Source organism: Homo sapiens, chromosome 12 (assembly GCF_000001405.40).
Source record: "Homo sapiens chromosome 12, GRCh38.p14 Primary Assembly".
Taxonomy (NCBI): Eukaryota; Metazoa; Chordata; class Mammalia; order Primates; family Hominidae; genus Homo; species Homo sapiens.
The window spans coordinates 126,451,945-126,473,178 of NC_000012.12; the positions used below are offsets into that span (position 1 = coordinate 126,451,945).

Here is a 21,234-nt window from a genome sequence, read left to right on the forward strand (position 1 = left end):
CCTTTTCTGTGCAACCACACTGAAGTCTTTAGCAATTAATTAGCAATTCAGATGCAGACCACCCATAAAGAGCTCAGCATGGAATAGGTGCTCCATGAATATGAACTGTTATTACATACACATGCATGATTTAAGAAATAGCCAGTTCTTGATCAGCACAGTGGCTCACGCCTGTAATCCCGGCACTTTGGGAGGCCGAGGTGGGTGGATTGCCTGAGGTCAGGAGTTTGAGACCAGCCTGGCCAATATGGTGAAATCCAGTCTCCACTAAAGATACAAAAAAATAAAAAACAAAAAAAAATAGCCGGGTGTGGTGGCGCAAGCCTGTAGTCCCAGCTACTCAGGAGGCTAGGGTAGGAGAATCGCTTGAACCCTAGAGGTGGAGGTTGCAGTGAGCTGAGATCACACCACTGTACTCAAGACTGGGTAACAGAGTGAGACTCCATCTTAAAAAAATAAATGAATAAATAAAAAAGAAATAGCCAGTTTTAGTAAGAAAGCAGAACTTGTTCTTTCCCTGCAATCATTGTTGGTTATTCTCTGATGAAGAAATGTTAAAATTCAAAACATGGGTCACAGAAATCATAGTAAAACAAATACAAACTGTGACTCACCCCACTCAAATGGACATTTGAGGAGTTTAGAATAATGCTGATGAGTTTCACAGGGCAAATTGGGAGCTCACATATTCTAAAAGGTCCAGTGTGTTAACTATTTGTTTCTGACATTGGCTTGAAAGTAATAATGCCTCATTTTCAGTATTTCTCTATATTCTGTGTTTGCCACATGCATCGCCTTTTTCAAGAGGCTGTGTAGTGTAGTGAAGTGACTTTCCAGATCTGCCATTTACTGTCTGAGGGATCCTGGATCAAGCATACAGATCTTCTAAGCCTAGTTTTCTCACCTGCACTGTAAGAAATAGAGCAGCACCGGCCGGGCGCGGTGGCTCACGCCCATAATCCCAGCACTTTGAGAGGCTGAGATGGGAGGATCACAAGGTCAAAAGATTGAGACCATCCTGGCTAACATGGTGAAACCCCATCTCTACTAAAAACACAAAAATTACCTGGGCGTAGTGGTTCATGCTTGTAGTCCCAGCTACTCGGGAGGCTGAAGCAGGAGAATCGCTTGAACTGGGGAGGCGGAGGTGCAGTGAGCTGAGATTGTGCCATTGCACTCCAGCCTGGGTAACAGAGTGAGACTCTGTCTCAAAAATAAATAAATAAAGAACTGGAACAGCACCTGTTCAAGAGGTGAAACACACAAAGCACGATGCCTATCCAGAGTCCACAGTTATGAGGATCTGTTATTATTCTTCACGATAGTCCTATCACCAGCTTATTTTTTAACCATGCTCAGAAACAAGTTGCCAGCTCTTTAGCATGGCGGCAATACCCTCCATGCTAACACCTGCCCATTTATCCATGAGTAGGTGTGACTCTTCTATTTTCCTACTTACTCCTTTTAATCCCAAAATTTGGGACAATTCAGGTTCTGCCTGAGGCCATGCTATTCCACGCCTTGTCTGGAAGCCACTCCTACTGCTGTCTTTGGAACACTGTTACTCATCCTACAAGGCCTCAATCAAGAATCTTAGGAGGTCATTGGTGCCTACCTGCCCATGGCAGAGACCACCAACACCTTCTGAGAGCTGCCACAGTGCTGCTTTCTAACATGTCTACACTAGCTCCTCACAGTGTGCGGTGATTGTTGGGTGAAAGCTCTGTTTCTCATAGTGAATGCATGCCATCTGCAAGGGGTATGCACATGCCTTTCTTGTCTTTGGATCCTTAGCAAGCAGCAGCATCTGCCTGCCTCAGGTAGACACTCAGAGGCTTATTGAGTGGACTTACATTGAAATCTAGTAGTCTCCAACTTTCTGTTTGATTCTACTCCAAGGCTTTTTTCTCCTTTTTCTTAGCAGTGTTAGAAATGCTTGTTCCCTGATGTTGCAAAGAAATAGCACTTGAACATAAATTTAATTTTCTTAGCAAGGCCATTTTTTCACTTTTTGCAGAAAGAGTATACTCGCCAGCAATTTTGCCATAAGAGTACACCGAACAAAGGAGACAGGGTCATTTATAACCTGACGCGTCCACCCTACTGCTATGTCCGTTTTCTATTGGCTGCAATAGGACCTCCGATTCTGTATTTGTCCCGATTGGCTAGCAACTTAGAACTTTTTAAAAGAGGCAAAGGCAGAGGAGAACAAAGGAAGGCGGAAGTAACTTGTGGAATGCTGAGAAAGGTAAAAACACCTCCAAATAAGGAAGAGGAACAGGCTATGACCTAATGCTTGCTTGGTCCAGTGTAAGCATGCCAGGGGAAATATTTAGGCTAAATTGTGGGAGTTAAGAACATAAAGTACATTGATTTCTTTATTACAGCTAGCAGATATTTAAGAATGTTAGCACAGGTCTTTGAATAAATTTTGCTTCTAAGAGAAGCTACTATTTATTCCTAGTTAGATGGGGAGGAAAGTCTCTTTGAAGAGGAACCTCTACTTTAGTTTTTACAGCAGCGTGCACCCCATCCTTCCTCTGACCCCATGGAGGAAGGTGGCCCAACCTGGACAATCTTAGCTGTCTGTTCCCCCAGGATAGATTCGGGATAGGCATGGAAACCAAGCCAGGCCTTTCTGAGACTCTCTCTAGATTTTTAAAGTTTGAAGCTGGAGTAAAATCAGCCTTGCCACCAGAGACAAAGGCTGGAGAGAGAGACGGGTGCTGTTTAACCTTGTGGAGAGAGAGACGGGTGCTGTTTAACCTTGTGGAGAAGACTTTGCTGTGGGAACAAAGGAGTCCAAACCAACACCAGACAAGCTGAGATCACCAGGAAGGGAGAGAAAGGCACTGGCTTCGTTCCAGTCCTTGGGACTCAGGTCCCTGCCTTCCCCACCTCCACCCCCAACACCCAGCCTCCCAGAAACAGCCCCAGACAACTTCTGCTCTGAGCTGGTTCCTGCCGCAATTCTGTCACTTAAGACGAAAAAAAATCCTAAATGATAGGATAAAACTCAGCCAACAACTTTCAGTGTTTACAATCTTCAGGGCATTGTTCTTTATTACTATTCTTTTTATACTTCCTCAGGATCATGTATTTAGTAAATCTCCCCTCCCCTGAGCCCCACTGCTCATAAAAGCTGAACCTAGGATGTGGATCCAGCAGCGTTCTTTTCAATGCAGGGTAGTTTTCTATTCACCAAGTTGAGCCCCTTTTCACAGTCTGAAGCCTGAAAGTAAAATGTAAAAAGTATTCGAAACTGACTTGCAGGAAGCTGAGGGAGACATTAATATATATCAGACTTATTAATATCTTCAAAATGTTTTAAGGGGAATTTTCTTTGTATTAAGCCAGAGGGATTATGTTTTTATTGTAAAGAAGAATTAGATTAATGAAAGCATTTATACAAACGCTTTGAACTTTAAACAACATGTGTTAAGTAAGCTGAAGTCATATCATAATTATATTTCTTAAAGTGATTCACACAATATTTTGTAAGTATTTGTTAATAGGAGGAATGGAAACACAAGAAAATCACTAGTAATAGGTACACTGAATATACAATTTATGGGATAATATTAAAATGCAATTATTCAGTCTCCCTGAGCCCTTAAATTTTCTCCAATAAGTTAATCCTTCCTGTAAATGGATGAAAATTTCAGCTAGCCCAGGACTTTCCACCACCTCTCTTAGGGTCAATAATAATCCTGTGTTCCCCTAAAAGCTGCAAACAGTCTAAATTAGAATAATCAATTCAAAATATTACAGAAAACTTCAAATACAATTCTACATTAAATTATTTCCTTTCCCAGCTCAGGCTGGAAGACTTTGATGGGAAACGATGGGAAAATTTTCTCTTCTCTCTCCCCTCTCTTCTTTCCAGGGTTTCTAATCTTTCCAGGGTTGGTGAGGGGAAGGGAGAGGAAAGGGAAGAAAGGACACAAAAGAGACAGGAGAGATTGTAACATACTGTCTTCAGCTGGCTTGAGGTCTCTGGTCTGGTGGAAGTTTCAGTCTGATTCATTCTGTGTAGACCTTCATGGGCTCCTGTGAGGTACCCTGTCGGGCACACAGACAGCGATCCCCCTGAGCAATGCATAGTGTGCTTCTGCCGACCCCTCCTGAACCTTCACAACTGCTTTTATTTGTTCATCCACCCCACTCAGACTCTGTCCAGGCCCCATTGCCAGGCTGGTTCTCTGCATGGCTAGAGTGACCACAGGGTTCTGATTGCCTGGCTTATCTCCCAGCCTTGTCTATTTTTTATGCATAATCATCAATAGCAAACATGCTCATATTCAAACACATCTCCCTTTGGACAATAAATGCCAAATGTCACAGTCAGCCCAGGACTTACCCATTTCTGGTGCACAGGACATGAAGCCTCCTTCCTCCAGTACCTTCTGAGAGCCCAGGTCCCTTCTAGGATTAGAAGCACTTCCCAGCTCTGATGTCCTACAGAAAACCAGACCTTTCTGAGCCTCACACATCCTAAGCAGGACTCAGATCCCAGACCACAGTGCCCATGAGTTTCAAGATTGCCTTTAAACACAAAGATGTCTCTTCACCAAGCTCTGTCCAAAGAAATTTTTTCTTGCTCACTTCTCTTGACACTTCTCTGTTGTGGAAAAGGGTGAGATCCTTTAAGCATTAAAGAACCACTTTTCAAAGTTTCTGTTTGAAAATCTGCCTTTTGATTTTGTACCTGATTTTGGAATTCTTGATGCTTTTAAAAAAAACTTAAATGTTAATACCTTGCCTCACATGGTTTTGTAGCGCTAAAGGATAATTAAAGCACCAGCATTAAAACTCAATCTTTAGCAAGATGTTGTCTACGATCTCGTTAATCTTCACAGGAAGATAATTTAGGATTGTCTGCCGGGGTTAGCAGTGGAACCTAATGGAGTCAACCCTGCAGGCAAGAAGGGACACTTGTGGCTTCTCCAATATGCCCGATTTATGATGAGGACTGGACAGCTTCTTACCTATCTGTGTGTTGTTTTCTCTTTCATTCAATTTTTGGTCTAACTCAGTGACTTTCAACACTTTGAGAGGCATAGTTATTACTTAAAAGGATTATGTACACAAATACATGCATACGCTGTAATTTACAGTTGATTTAAAGGAATTTCCAGAGGAATTTTGACCTCAAATAATTTTCCTCTTATATGCTAAATGTGGAAATGAGATATGTATTTAACATATAATTACATTTTGCCAGATGTATGACATCTGTGAAAATATTCTAAAACAAATGAAATGCCATCCCTTCATTTGTACTAAAATGTATTTTAGTCTGAGGAGAGTGAAGATTTTACAAAGGACTGATGATTCAAAGCACTATGATTATTACAATTATAATTTTAAAAGCAAATATCTATCAAGCTATGATAATACATCAATTTTCTAACCTATTTGTCTATATGAGCTCACTTTTTAATAACTTGTTTTTGCTTTATTCTACAGTTTGCAGACAACTCCAAACTCCACACTTGGGTTTTCTCTTCTGCCTTTGTTATTCTTTAAATATCTACATTAACAGAGACCATTTCTCCCCAAAGAGATGATGTTTCCCAATAGCGCATGCAGGTGGACCCTAACCTGGCACACACAGGCCCTCTTGGCCCTCCAGCACTGGTGCCTGGGCTCTACCATTTGATTGCACCCGTGTCTGTCTGTGCTAGGGCTCTGTCCTGGTCCTGTCACCCCTGAGGTATCCTTGGAGCATAGGGATGCCAAAGAGCCCCATGTGATCTTGTCAACTCTGGGTAAACTCAAGAGGCTCCTTGGGTTTCTGAGCTGAGGGCCAAGGCAGCCCATGTCTGGGCTTCATTACAAAGAAAAGTGGCAATCAATGGGCAATGTCCATTAGGAGTTTTTGGAAAGGGGATCTGGGGCGACAAACCTAGAAAGGGATGAGGCAAATAGTACATCGCTGCCTTAGATGGCTGCTTTGCTATCGGGCTGCACTGTCTCACCCGCCAGGTGGCCGAGGAGGCCGTCGGAGGACCACAAAGCTGCAAGTGGCTTTCCTGCGGCCTGCAGGGAACAGGTGGAGGACACTTGGAAGGGCACCCACCCCGGGTCTCACAGGAGTCTGCACCCGCAGGTCACACTGGCATTAGCCCCTCATCCTCTGGAGTTCATCTCATCCAGGCGAAGACAGCTGGCTGGCCTCAGAGGGTGAGACGCAACTCGAGGGTAAAAACATTTTTACAGGGCATGGACACAAAAGTGGCCTTTACCTCTGGATAAGCTTTTAAAACTTCCCATTTACATGTAAAGGTGTACTTTCTATGTGCCACCAAGAAACCTAAAGTGAGTAAAAGGTGTTTCACTTTAATCAAGTTCCCCAATGAGGGGGCACAGCTCTGAAAAGCACTGTCACAACAGGAGATTCGAGGGTGCATGCAAAGCAATGTTTCTAGAAAATGCCAAAGGAAACAGACACAACTCCAGTGTGGACTCCCGCTTCCCTGCACTGCTGCTCCATCCTCAGGGCGGAGGCCACATCGTCCAGCTAGCTGTGAGAACCTCATCATGCTCCTTGATTGTGTGCAGCAGGTGTCTGCTGAAGTCCTCCACACTCTGCCTGTAAGTTTTGGATGCTTTCTTCAGGATCCTCTCTATTTGTTCTCCTGGAGATTCTTGAAGGCCACCTGGGCTGGGATCCACTTGTCCTGGCCACACTGCTTCTGCTCCTTAATCTTTTTGCTCATTCCATCACTTCCTTGAGTTTCACCTTGTCTTGGTCTTTCTTTTTCTTATTCTGCTTGGTTATGCTGAGCTCTGCAATGCTTTTAAGCTTCAGGGGTCCTTTTTGGACCTGCTCATGGGCGACCATGACATCCGCCTGCAGTTCTGTGGTTAGACTATGTATTAGCTCATGTAATCCTCCTAAGAACATTATGGGGTAAGTACTATTATGCTCTCTATTTGTACAGGTGAGAAAACTGTACTACAGAAAGGTGAGCACCTTGCCCAAAGTTACGCAGAAAGTGAAAAAACAAGAATTCTAACCCAGACAAGTAAGTTGTATAAGCAAATGAGGCTAATAGAGATGCCAACCAGGTGTTCAAAGGGTTATAGTTACTTCTGGAAGTGAGGTGAGGCTCTGTAATAGCTAAGACGTGAACCTGGTTCTCCAGGGTAGAGACAAGAGGCAACAAGAGAAGGGACTCTGCAAAGAAACCAGCAATAGGTTGGGAACACAGGGATGGAGAGCAGCCACGAGTTTACCTAGGTTGAATTTGGAAAGTCTGTGCAGAGAAAGATGCAGGTCCCACTGGGCATGGTGGCTCACACCTGTAATCCCAGCACTTTGGGAGGCCGAGGCAGGCGGATCACTTGAGCCCAGGAATTTGAGACCAGCCTGGGCAACATGGTGAGACCCCATATCTACAAAAACTACAAAAATTAGCTGGGCAAGGTGGCATGCACCTGTGGTCCCAGCTACTTGGGAGGGTGAGGTGGAAGAATTGCTTGAGCCCAGGAGGTGGAGGTTGCAGTGAGCCATGATCATGCCACTGTACTCTAGCCTGAGCAACAGAGTGAGACCCAGTCTCGGGAGAAAGAGGGAAAGAAAGAAGGGAGAGAGGGAGGGAGGTAGGGAAGGAAAGAAGGAAGGAAGGAAGGAAAAAGAAAGAAGAAAGAAGGAAGGAAGAAAGGAAGGAAGGAAGGAAGAAAGAAAGAGAAAGAAAGAAAGAAAGAAAGAAAGAAGAAAGAAAGAAAGAAAGAAAGAAAGAAAGAAAGAAAGAAAGAAAGAAAGAAAGAAAGAAAGAGAAAGAAAGAATCATGCAGCTCCCTTATTCCCCAGGCATTCACTGAGCACTTAGTGTGTCATATGCAGGCTTTTAGGTTTAGGGTCCTGGGCAATGATACAGACAAGACAAACAGAGTCTCCTCCTTCATGGAACTTACATGAGTGGGACGGACAACAAACAAATGGTCCAGACGATTTCAGATAGTGATGAGTGTTCGGAGAACACTAAGCAGAATGATCTGAGTTTGCAACGGGCATTGCAATGCCTGCTGGGCTCCTTACCCCTCAGGACCTTTCCACTGGCTGCTCTCAAAGGCTGAATAACCTTTGCCCTGTTGCTGCAGGGCCAGATTCTCTTCTTGCAGGATTCCTTTGACTAAACTGTCACCTTGTCAAAGAGGTCTGATGCCGACTAAAAGTTCTCTGTTACTGGGCGTGCAGAGAGAAGCCTATTGTGGCTGTAAGGATGGGTGAAGGAGAAGGGCACAAAGTGGACAGCAGAAGCAGGAGCTGTCACACAGGCCTGGCCCATCATGGTGGAGAGTTTGGATTTCATTCTAAGCCAAATGGGAAGTCATTTTTCTTCTAAGCACAAGAACAACATGACTGAATTTATGCTTTAAATGAGCCACTTTGACTGCCCAGTTTCTCAACCACATAGTCGATAGATATATAGATGTATAGATGGGTAGGTTGGTAGACAGACAGACAGACAGACAGACAGACAGACAGGCAGACAGATAGATGTATATGTAGGTAGATAGGTAGATAGAGAGATGAATAGGTAGGAAGGTAGATAGATAGATACATAGATACATAGAGAGGTGTATAGGTATAGGTAGGGAGGTAGAAAGAGAGAGAGATGTATAGGTAGGTAAGTAGATAGATGTATAGACAGATAGATATATAGATAGATATAGAGATAGATAGATGATAGATAGATAGATAGATAGATAGATGTCTATAGGTAGGCAGTTAGGTAGATGGATGCACAGAAGGATGGACAGATGGATGGAGGGATGGAGGGATAGATATAGATAGATTTGTGAATATAGATACCTATCTGTCTCTCTCTAGCTAGAGATAAAATAGACAAGTGGCTTCATGCATCAGTAGCATTGAAAGACACCTCGAATGTGGCCTTACTTCAAGGTGATGGAATTTCTTTTTAAGCTCAGCTTCTACTTCCCTTCTGAGGAAGTTCATGACAGGGAGCTGCTGCAACTGATGTGACTTTCAACTCTAATATCCCGATGATGTAAATGCACTGATCAGCTCAGCAGGATTTAAGGTGAGATCTCTACTCAGGAAGAATTATGAGAAACATTTTAAATTCTTTAGCCATCAATTTCACTGCCAGTTAAACTCCATCCTCAGACGTGAAAAAAATGGCCAGCAGGTAATTTTTGAAGTGGTGAAACTGCACTATTTCTATATTTACAACCAAACCACATTTGAAAGGATGTGTTTTTGGCTCCAAAATCCTTTTTTGGCTCTGTCCACCACTGGGGCCGTAACAGGATTTATGAAGTGGAGAACCACAAAACTTACATAGATGGAGAAATATAGATTTAGATACAGATGTAGAATATATAAAGTAGATATAGCTGTAGAATACACAAACACAAATATAAATGAAGGTATAAATACAGAAAAGGTATGCATGTAGATGTAGAAGACAGACACAGGATAGATAGGCAGGTAAATTGATAGATGATAGATGATAGATAGGTAGATAGATAGATAGATAGATAGATAGATAGATAGATAGATAGATGATAGATATAGAAATGTGAATGTATAGAAGAGACATAAATGTAGATATAGAATGGATGTCATTTTTGTGCTTATGAGCCCCGCCATTCACCTGCCCCTTTATCTGCCCCCAAAAGAGCAATATTAGGGAGTATATAAATATTGTAAATAAAGCAGATAAAAGTAGAAAGATGTTAAAATCTCAGAGACAATCACCAACTGCTAAAAGATTCTCAATGGAAAAACAAATCGTAAAACAAAAAGCTGTGTTTTGCATGAAATTAGCTGGTTAAATTAGCCTGAAAGATTTACAAACCTCACCCACCTGTCTTAGAAAGAATATTCCATAGAGATATTTGGTTACTACCTGGTTCCAACTCATTTTCCTGGGTCAGAAACTGATTTCTACTTTTAAGAATTGACTTCTCTATAGGAAGGTCCATGTCACATTAATTCATGCTGCAACTTGTAGAGATGTCTTCTCCTTGGCACGTGAGCCATTTAGACTCTTTTTCAGAGAGAAGCCTGCAAACGAAAAAAGATATGCATAAGTGTTCCTGGCATTTCACATGAATTCTCTTGCAAACATTTTGCTGTATGTGTTCTGGGTGTGTTGTTATCTACTTGGATAGTTTAAAAAGTATTAGTAGAAAACATATGTATTTCTAACAGATACCCAAATGTCAAGGCTTGATGAGAATGTGTGCAGAATTGTGTATTTTTGAGGCACTATCATACTTCCTCAGTATAGATCTGTGGCTTCCTGGAAAAAAAAATTCATGGATAGCCAGTTCTCTAAATTGTCCTTATAGGGATGTCCACTGGATGAGTGCAGAATGTTCTAAAGAGTAGAAATTAGAAGACAAAACTTGATAGAGAACCTTAGATTAAGAGAATACTCAGAAAACGCAAAACAGAAGAACGCTATTAGAAGTGATATGAGGCAGGCTTTAAAGGGAAATTTTTCTGGAACAAAAATCCATGCTCTGGAAGTCAGAGGGTGTAACTGAAGATGAAATAGTCATTTGGAGAAAATCAGAATTAGAGACTGGTATTATTTGTTTTAGACAATATTTATCTATTTATTTTTTCTATTAATTTGATTGAATTAAGGAGAACAATATTGATTTTTTTACATGCGTTTTGTCCATTTAGACCTTGAGGCTTAAAGAGACGAGGCTTGCTTAAAGTCACACAGATAGTAAGAGGCAGATAAGAAATCTCGCCTTGAGTTATTTGATTTCCATGCCTAGGTCTCATCCGCTGAGCAGTGCCTCCTCCCGATTCAGCACGTCCCTGGTGCCGACTTTCTGCACGTGTTCACTTTGAGGCTGCATTGTGGGCCTGCAAGAAATGCAAAGGTATAGTGTCAGCTCTTCAGCATCTTATAGTCAGGTTTGGGGTCAAAAGCCTAGAAAGGTACAGGCCCTGAAAACAGATATCAGACAATGCCAAAGTGAGATTCCAAAGCAGAGTTTTTATGAGCGCACCATAGAATGTCTTAATATTCAGGGCTTTAGGAAATGAATCATATGCAGAAACATCTTAGTCTAAAATAAACTCCTTTTCCAGACCCAGGAATAAAGACTTTGCTATTTCTGTCAATAGAAATTAATTTATATCTGTCTGAGAATTCAGAAGCTGTTGAAGCATTGAATTTGCAGTAATAGGGAGCTCTTATAAATCACCAACTGTCATTAATCAACACGAATTCTTTGCTATTTATATTTTTATTTCAAAGGTCAAATGCATTTTAAAGTTGTATAATGCATTTTATTCTATGTCTAGAATATGATTTTTAAGCTTCCCTTAAGATATCTTTACTTTTCAAATTAACTATCAAACTGATAGCTCATCAGATCTAATTAATTATTTTATGTGTCTGGTATCTAGTAGGTGTTTAATACATGTCTGTTGAAGAAGTTTATTCAACAAATTTTTCTTGTTCACCCTCTATGTACTAGGCACTCTTATACATGTCGGAGATACAGCAAAAAATAAACAACAAAGTTCCTGAGAGTTGATAATATGATGGAAGGGGCTATAAACGATTAATGGATTGTCAGGTTGTGATGAGTGTGCCGATGTATATAAAACAAGGCAAGGACAATAGAGAGTGAGGGGAAGTGCTTGCACTTGATTTAGTTTACACACATAAGGCTCCTGTCCCACAGGTGATGTTTGAACACCTGAAGAACATGAGTGAGAAAGGCGTGGGTCATCTGGGGAAAATAACTTTCTGCAGAGCGAATAGCAAGTGAAAAGGTCCTAAGGAAGGAGGATGCTTGGTGTGCTTGAGGAGCAGAAAAGAGGCCAGCAAAGGAAGAAAGAGGGAAGGAAGAATGAAGGAGATGTTGACTGCAATCTTGTACATTTGTATTGAATGCTATGATTGGCTTGCTCCTGAGGCCTCTCTTCAGGAGTGAGGAGGGGGAGTGATGGCACATCTGAAAACTCTTTCCTACGTACCTTGGGATGTCTTTACCCCTTCTGGCTTTTGAATTATATCACTTAGGATACATTGCCTGCAAGACATGGCACACCTAACAGACAGGTTAATGATAGTTATGGTTACTGGGTACTTAACAGTAAATGCAAAGGCAGGTCAATGCAAGTTGTGTCCACAGATCTCTGGTGTCTTCAGGAAACCGGACTTTCCTTTCCAATAGGGGTATTTTGGGATTCTGGCTTTCTATTCACTCTTGTCTCTTCATGGTCAAACGTGGCTGCTGAAATTCCAGATATCATTCCCACACCTGACAACTTCCAATCTATAGTGAGAGCAGAGCAAAAATATTTTCCTTATGCAGCTCTCTCCCTCTCTATTTTTTTTTTTTTTTTTTCTGGACAGGATCTCGCTCTCCTACCCAGGATGGAGTGTGTAATGATGCAATCATAGCTCATGGCTATGATTGCATCATTACACAAACTCCAGGGCTCAAGGAGACTTCCTGCCTTAATTTCCCAAATAGCTGGGACTACAGGCATGCACCACCATGCCCACTTAACTATTTTGGTATTTTTTCTGTCGAGTCAGGGGTCTCGCTATGTTGCCCAGAATGGTATTGAACTCCTGATCTCAAGCGATCCTTCCGCTCAGCCTCCTGAAGCGCTGAGATTACAGACAGGAGCCCCCGTGACCAGCCATCTCTCTCTTTTTAAAGAGAGACAACTATTTCCCAGAAGTAGCTAGCACACCTTATTTTATTACTTTTTGGCAAGACAGCCAAGAGAAAAATGGCAAATAAAATGGTATTCCACTGATCAGTTTATTGCAGTTATAATTATTGCGTTAACCCATAATTCAGGCCCTTACATTGTGTCTAGTGCTTTTCTAAGCACTTTATATATAATGTTATTTGTTTCACACTACATCACCATCAGGTCGGAACTGTTATTATCCCAATTTTGCAGGTGACAAAACTGAAACACAAAGAGTTTAACTATCTTACTCATAAGAGAAGGAAATAGATAAAACTCAGGATGTCTGTCGCCAGATGAGAGTGCCACAGAGGGTATCAACTCCCTTTAGGAACAGAGTTCAATGATCAGTAGGATAAAAGCATCTACATTCATTTCATAGAGGCCACATTTCCAAGAAAAAATAACATAGAATGCAATATGTTAGCCCAAATAATCAGCAGAAAAGGAGAAAACATTATTCTTTATAACATTAACATTACAAGATATTAATTAACATTGTTAAAATACTTTGGAAAATTATTAGGCAGTACCTACTAAAGCTGAATATATGTATACCTGACAACCAACATTTCATCCTTACATATTTGCCAACATGAATGAGAACATATGTTCACTAAAAGACACATTCTAAGATTGGCTTATTATTTAGTTATAAGTCATTGCAAAATCAAATGCTTTGAAAACTACAATTTTCTTGCAGAGAAAAAGAAATTAGGCAGTGGAATACTGAAAAATTTTTTAAAATTATGTATGTCTGTTTGTCGTTGTATTCAGGTACCAAACTGTATGTAGTGTGCCTTCTAATGACCAATTTAATCTCCATGGGTTATACTAAAAGTTGAAAGCAAAGGAAACACAAATCAAAATTTTAATTTATAATCTTTACCAATCGAAGGTGTATATTTCACTGTCCATTATGTTGCCCTATTCAGTGGAAGATACTTGAATCAAATTACTTTACTGTTAGAGTAAGATTAATTAGCACAATGAATTTATCCACAATTATCAGTGTTACTTTTCAGAAATCTTTCACTTTTTGTTGCAGCTGGTTGAGGCTTTATTCAATTCAAATTCAAGCTGTTAAATCGAGGCTCTCAGACTCCTGCTGCCTGGCCAGTGGAGAAATTAACTTTCACATATGGCTTTGGGATTTCTCTCTGTCATCCTGGTCGACGTGTTCTCTCATTTTTCTGAAGTCTGGGACCTCAACACAGACATCTGGGTGAAGGCCTTGACAGCAGCGCTGGTGCAAAATGAATTGTCACATCACACCCAACGTTCTCAACCTTTAGAATCTGAAAGTAAGAAAAACACCTCAAACGTAAGTACTGCATTTTTACATTCTCTTCTCAGATTTCAAGTGAACTGTCTTTTTATATTATATATATAGTTAGTTGATCATTTCTCAGCTGCTTTAACCATTAATATTTAAAATTTCATCTCACCCATGTGAGTAGAAGAAGTTCAAGACAGAGTCACATTTTTACACTTTGATATTCTTACACAGAGATATGACGGATAGAAAAGTGTGCACCCACAAACGGGTCTCTGAACCGCTTCTGATACCCTGACCTCTTTTGTTACCTGAATTGGGGCAACCTATTATGCCTTCTTATCAAATGTTGAGTAATTACTCTCAACACAGGGTCAGCAAAACTGTTATTTCTTTCAGTCTGAGGAGCTTGTACATTGGCTTAGGAAAAGTCCATCAGGGAAATGGGGACACATATGCCTAGACCACATTTATGTTAGAAATCCAGCGGTCTTTTTGTAAGCAATAGATGAAGTAATCTAAAAATGTACACACCCAAAGTAATAGACTATCTCTCTTGACTCCTGACTCTGTGAAAATAGGTCTTTATGCATATCTTTGTTTTTAGAAAACATTAAAGATTGAATAATTGAAGGCACTATGCTTGGTGCTGAAGAAGGTCTAAGGAGGTCTACACCACAGAGGCTGCACCCACTCCTCAGCCTTGCTGAGCCACACCATTCTCATCTCTACAGCATCCACCTCTCTTGGCTCTTGTAAGGATTGAGACATGCCACCAGGCTTACTGTAAGCACTGAACAGCTGGGAGGATTTGATGCTGTCCCACTGCCATACCAAGGGGCAAGTTTTCTGGACTTGCCTAGACCTTATAGCAGATTAAGTACTTTTATTTCACTGAACAAAGTTTAGAGATCATTTTACATCACTGAACAAAGTTTAGAGATTTGGAGAGTATTTGTTTTTAATTTCTATGGATCTGCTTATACTTCTCTTTTGCAAATTGAAACACCGTGGAAGATTTTTTGGAACTTAGGTTGAGAGTTGTACATGGCTTCAGAGTTGCTGTGGATTTCTATCTCCATGGGGCCATCTGTCTCATCTGTCTATATAATGGTCATGCACTTTGCAGAGCCTGCTTCAATGTCTGCTATACTATGGCCACTCTGCCAGTGTTGTTGACAAACAGATGGGTTTTGATGGCAGAGAAACTTATATTTAGCAAGTCTTCCTTTTGCCCTTGAACTTTTCCACCTGTTGTTTGCACCAGCAACTCCCATGGCAAATGTGAAAAAGCAAAAAATAAGGAATATTACAAGATGGGACTAACATTAAAATGTATGTTTTCATCAAACATGATCAAGAACCTACCGATGATTGAAGGTATCTAAAACCAAAGGAGTCCCTTAGATAAGATGTTACAAATCATTCCCAAGGGGTGGTGGGAAGGGGACATGGGATTTGAGGGCAGGTACAAAAGAGAACTTGTCTATAAACTTCTTTAATCCTTAATAAAAATGTGCACTTTAGATATTATTATGTACTCCTATTCTACAGGTAAGGGACCAACCTTCAGGAGTTTACTTATCTTGCCAAAGGTCACGTTACTAGTTAGGAGGTAATCTCAGGGCAGGGACTCTGCCTTGTCATTGCTGAAGCCTTAGTTCTGAGAACAGCCTGGACTACAGTTCTGTGTTTAATATTTTTTTAAATAACTAATAATAAATATATTAGGTAGGGAAGTGGACCTTTAAAACAGGCTTTCTCCACTGTATTAGTCTGTTCCCACACCGCTATGAAGAACTCCCTGAGACTGAGTAATTTATAAAGAAAAGAGGTTTAATTGACTCACAGTTCTGCATGGCTAGGGAGGCCTCAGGAAACTTACAATTATGGCATAAGGCACCTATTTATAGGGTGTCCGGAGAGAGAATGAGTGCAAGCAGAGGAAATGCCAGGCGCTTATAAAACTATCAGATCTCCTGAGACTCACTCACTATCATGGAAAAAGCACCCCAATTATCCAATTATCTCCACCTGGTCCCGCCATTGACAAGTGGGGATTATTACAGTTCAAGGTGAGATTTAGGTGGGGACACAAAGCCAAACCAGATCATCCACCTTGATATGATTGACATTTTGCATCAGATGACTTATCATCCTGGGAGGCCATCCTGTACACTGTAGAATTATTGACAGCATCTCGACCTCTACCCACTAGAGTAGCGTGTGGCTCTGTGATGCATTCCAGGGTGACCAAGCAGGGATTGTGTCTAGACAAGAGTTTCTGTTGAATTTTACCATCCTATGAAGTATTTCGTGAGGGAACTCACAATGTGTCCAATCCCACAAAGATGCCAGAGAAAGGCTGCATTCATTCAGGTTGACTATAATGAGTAACAATTTATTTTGGAATATTAATTAAATGGGTGTATGTGTTGTTGTTGCTGGTTTTTTTTGTAGACCAAATTTTGAATACAAATATCTGGTCCCTGAAAAATTATTCCTGATTTGATTTTATCCAGTGTTGCAAACTGGGTTTCGTAAGTGACTCTTTTGTAAGGAGTTTCAGTGCACCCCGTCTGCAACCCATGCATATCTTATTTAACCCCAAGCTTCTAAGGTAGAATCCTACTTTTTTCAAGTGCTATTGATTAGTTGCCTGTTTAGACTTTTGTTATATGATTTAAAATTTTAAAAATGATAATCAAAATATAATATTGAACACAATTTAGGGCATTATGTCATAAATATTTACTAAGACAATGTTTGCATTTCATAATCTATAATACATATTGATTTTAGTATCACATTTACAGATTGATTCTGAGTAATCAGCACAGATTTCTAAAAGAAACTTTATGGGATGCTGAGACATGAATAAAAACAACTTTATTCCTTTGGAAAGGACAACCCACATGCTAAGAAGATGACACTACACGTTGTTATAGCCCGAAAGGCCCTCTTTCCACAGGGGAGCAGTGAAAAGTAGAGGTTGCCCATGTGGATTCCCAAGTCAGATAGATGTGGATTCAGATCCCAGCTCTGCTGCTTGCTACCCAAGAGACCATGGACTGTGGACTCTTTAGGTCTCAGGGTTTTTGTTTGTTGTCTGTTTTTCACTTCCAAAACCAGAAAATGAGAAGATATTTTCCATAAGATGGCGGTGGTGAGTAAATGTAATTATATGTCTAAAGCTATGGGCATGAAAGCTTGGCACACATTTAAGTAAGTGCTTGATAAATGTTAATTCTTACAACTATTGGTATCATTTAGATTTAGGTTGCTGAGTTAGTGGGAAATAATGTCCTTATCATGTGAGGAATCCCTATTCTCAAAAGGGGTTATTATCATTAGAATGCTAACTGTTTTCAAAACAGCTAATTGACCATTTTATTCAGAAGCACCATCTGCTACTCATTAGGGTCTAGGTTTCTGTCAGCTCACGGGTGCCCATATGTGAGTTGATAACCCTATTTCAGTCTTGGTTGTTGAATCCTCAGTGTCTGCGGTTGACTGACTATCAGGTATTTGCATCTCTGAAAGTAATTTTCAGCAGTGAGTTTTTAGTTAGGTTCTTTGGTTACAGTTCTGGATAATTAACACTAAAATGAGACATCTTAGAAGGCTTTGGCTCAGATAATTGAGAGAAGTGAATGTTGAACAAGATTCAGGAAGGGAAGAGCTGGGATACCCCAATGTCTGGATTTCATGCTCTTTTTCTCCAAGCACATCCACTGTGGGGCTTGGCCTCAATCCCCTAGATGTCTTCAATATAATCTTCAATTGTCAGGAGAAGAGAACTTGATGGACCTTGCTTGGACAAAATGCCTTCACCGCTAACTCAGTCAGCTATGGCGATGGGTCAAGGACCTGGTGGTTTTACAGAGAAGACCCTTGGTCAAATCTTTGTGAATGAAGCAACCATTCTGATGTTCAATAACAGGGTAAGTGCTGGCCAATGATGTCATTATCGTCCATCCTGTGGCTTCCACACATCAGTGATCTTATTAGATACCTGCAATTTCAACCCACTATATCAGAATTCCATAGGAATGAGTTGTTTTTAAAGTTCTTCAGAGTGAATTTGGATGCTCAGTCATTATAAAGAACTATCTTCATCCTACAAAGACTGGTGTTTTTTCTTTCCTTGTTTATCTTGGAATTTTTTTCCAATTGCAGCCTTGAAAACCATTTCCAATAATGTCAGAATTTGCTTAAAAGATTGTGAAAGACGGTAATCTGGATTGTAATACTGGGTCAAAGAGACCATACCAGGAGCCAACCATGCTAAATCTAACTTTAAAATACAGAATTACAATGTTAAGACAAGTTCCATAGAGTGATAAGGTCTATGTGGTACTTACTATTTTACACACATTTTCCTACACTTAGTGTAACTGTCTCCTAATTAAATGCAATTGTTTTAAATTAGCTGATGTGTGTTTTATGTGATATAGCTTTATATCCTAAGCCAGAATAAAAATATTCTGAGAGTGACAGTCTTTCTTCATTATTTCATCTCTTGTCCTGCATAATTTTGTTTTTAAGTTAGATTTTGATATTAAATTGGTAAAATAAATTAAAGGAAAAAATGAACACTAGGAAAACAAAACGAGGGAGATGGCTTCAGGCCAATTTATATTAACAAGGAAAAACACTACCCGTTCTTTTAAAAGCTTTTAAAAACAGTGACATTCAGGCTCTTCCATTTCTGTCTAGAATGCACCAGTTTATACCAAACTATCTGTACTATTGAGAACAGCAAAAATATCTGACCAAAAACACCAAAGAGTGACATTTTAAAAGACATCAAAGAACTCTCAAGGCTTCCAGAGTTGGAAAGATCAAGAAAGAGAGAATGCAACTTCATTAAGGTGAGCCTAGAATTTTATGTTGTTTTTTCGTTCTAAGATATTTATTAGATTTTTAAGTGGTGCAGGCCAGAGAGGCTGAATAGAAAGTGTAATATGTAGAATAGGTGAGCAGAGATTTTAGTCATCTCACAGTGATGGCGAAAAAAAATTGAGGTTATGGTTGCCATGGTAGGAATGAATTGAGGGGCCAGCATAACATGGAGAAGGGAGATCGGGTAAATAAGCCCAATGTTTGGAGCTAATTTTCCTCTCAACAAATTTACTGATGTGTCACCAAGGTCATATGTGAGGGCAGCAAAACTAAGCACAAAGCAGTAGCTAAAAACTTAAATTTTAGAGTTTTCACAAGTCTTACAGTGCTGGGGTGCGAAACTGAAGTGTAGGATTCACCTAAAAGAAGGATCCTATTGAACAACTCAGAATTAGATTGGGAACTCTGAAGGATTTTACCCTATAGGGATGAGAAAGCTAGCAATATCTCAGATGTATAAAGACTGAAACCCAGCCTCACATCCATCCATATTCCAGATTAGATAAAATTGATAATCTCCTACACAAACTATCTTCTATTAATATAAAGTATCTTCTATTCAGATTTATCCAGATGCTATAATTTTTATTTTATTATTCCAACACCAGACACAAAAAGGAACAGGATACAGAAGTGGAGGCAGTTCAGCGAAAAAGATGAGAAGAAGGAGAATGTCCACAAATAAATTTCACTTATAAAAGTTCAGATAAAAATTCTAGAACTGGGTTTTTACGGTTTTAGGTCTTATGTTTAAGTCTTTAATCCACCTTGAGTTAATTTTTGTATAAGGTGTAAGTTTCAGTTTTCTGCATATGGCTAGCCAGTTTTCTCAACACCTTTTATTAAATGTGGAATCCTTTCCCCATTGCTCGTTTTTGTCAGGTTTGTCAAAGATCAGATGGTTGTAGATGTGTGGCATTATTTCTGAGGCTCTGTTCTGTTCCATTGGTCTATATATGAGTTCATGTCCTTTGCAAGGACATGGATGAAGCTGGAAACCATCATTCTCAGCAAACTAACACAGGACAGAAAGCCAAACACCGCATGTTCTCACTCATAAGTGGGAGTTGAACAATAAGAAAACATGGACACAGCAAGGGGAACATCACACACCAGGGCCTGTTGGTTGGTGGTGGGCTAGGGGAGGGATAGCATTAGGAGAAACACCTAATGTAGATGACAGATTGATGGGTGAAGCAAACTACCATGTCACGTATATACCTATGTAACAAACCTGCATGTTCTGCACATGTATCCTAGGACTTAAAGTATATATAAGAAAATTCTAGAACTGAAAAATATAAGTGAATTAAAAACATAGTGATTATATTTAAAAGCATGTTAGACACAGGTAAAGAGAGTTCTGGTGATTTCAAAAATACGTTGGTAGTAAATATTCAGATTTAAGAATAAAAAATAAAAAGAAGGGAAGACACACAGAAGCCATAGAGGTATGTAGGGGAGTGTTGTGGTTATGTCTATGTCACAAACGTCTCCCAAACTTAGTGATGTAATAAAACCATATTATTATTAAATAGTTATCATGAATGAGTAATTTGGACAAAGGCACTGTAGAGCCAACTCACCAAAGCTCCATGATGTCTGGGGTGTCATCTAGGATGACACAAACTACTAGATGCAGAAATATCAAAGGTTGAGTATTTTATATGTCTGATGCCTTTGTGTTCCCCCAAATGAGCTCTCTCTCCAGCAGATAATTCTTCTGTGGAATTTTTCAGTGACTCAACTCCAAATAGGAGCATTTCAAGAGTATGTATTTCAACAAAGAAGTATTAGAAGATGACAGTGTCCTTGCAGTATCTTTTAGGGGCTATCAGAACATGATTTCTGCTATATTCTATCATCGGAGCCTTAATAATGTTAACTATAATTCAAGGGAAGATCAAATAAACTTCACCTTTCAAGGAAAGGAGTAACAGAGAATGTGCAGGCATTTTTATACACCATTGACATGGAAAAAAAAGTCCTTCAAGGATTTCCAGTTTCAGATTCTACCTATAAAGAGTTCAGAAGTCATTATTCATAGCCTTACAAATAAATAAATAAATAAATAAATAAATAAATAAATAAATAAATAAATGGAATATACAGAAAGTCCATAACTTCTCTTGGACTCATCAGATAATTGAGATCACAGACCAAACTGACATCCCCAAATCTAAAGGGACAAGCAAATCCAGAAAGACAGCACAAGTGAGATCTTTTTATGTGGAGTAGAAGCCACAAAAAATATAAACTTGAGAAGAAAGTCAGAGGCATTACATTACCCAACTTCAAACTATACCACAAGTCTACAATAAACAAAACAGCA

General features: G+C 39.9%; 1 long non-coding RNA gene and 1 pseudogene across 1 annotated transcript in view, besides 2 other annotated features; one reads left to right on the forward strand and one right to left on the reverse strand.

Annotated features, from left to right (window-relative positions):
• LINC02347 (long intergenic non-protein coding RNA 2347) overlaps nucleotides 1-20,841 on the forward strand; it is a 30,305-nt gene extending 9,464 nt beyond the window's left edge. The window contains exons 5-12 of the long non-coding RNA NR_130748.1: nucleotides 5,989-6,597; nucleotides 10,774-10,881; nucleotides 13,770-14,045; nucleotides 14,605-14,783; nucleotides 16,814-17,163; nucleotides 17,788-17,941; nucleotides 18,717-18,871; nucleotides 20,642-20,841. This is a non-coding gene — a long non-coding RNA (long intergenic non-protein coding RNA 2347). The remainder of the gene's footprint in view (nucleotides 1-5,988; nucleotides 6,598-10,773; nucleotides 10,882-13,769; nucleotides 14,046-14,604; nucleotides 14,784-16,813; nucleotides 17,164-17,787; nucleotides 17,942-18,716; nucleotides 18,872-20,641) is intronic.
• Nucleotides 1,191-1,692: an enhancer, noted in NCBI's record as "H3K27ac hESC enhancer chr12:126937681-126938182 (GRCh37/hg19 assembly coordinates)". NCBI's record gives its function as "activates a minimal SCP1, AML or CMV promoter by ChIP-STARR-seq in primed H9 embryonic stem cells {active_cell/tissue: H9 hESC(primed)}" and the evidence as "EXISTENCE:reporter gene assay evidence [ECO:0000049][PMID:30033119]".
• Nucleotides 1,693-2,192: an enhancer, noted in NCBI's record as "H3K27ac hESC enhancer chr12:126938183-126938682 (GRCh37/hg19 assembly coordinates)". NCBI's record gives its function as "activates a minimal SCP1, AML or CMV promoter by ChIP-STARR-seq in primed H9 embryonic stem cells {active_cell/tissue: H9 hESC(primed)}" and the evidence as "EXISTENCE:reporter gene assay evidence [ECO:0000049][PMID:30033119]".
• FAM32EP (family with sequence similarity 32 member E, pseudogene) lies at nucleotides 5,593-6,951 on the reverse strand (annotated as a pseudogene).
• Nucleotides 20,842-21,234: the final 393 nt, after the last annotated feature.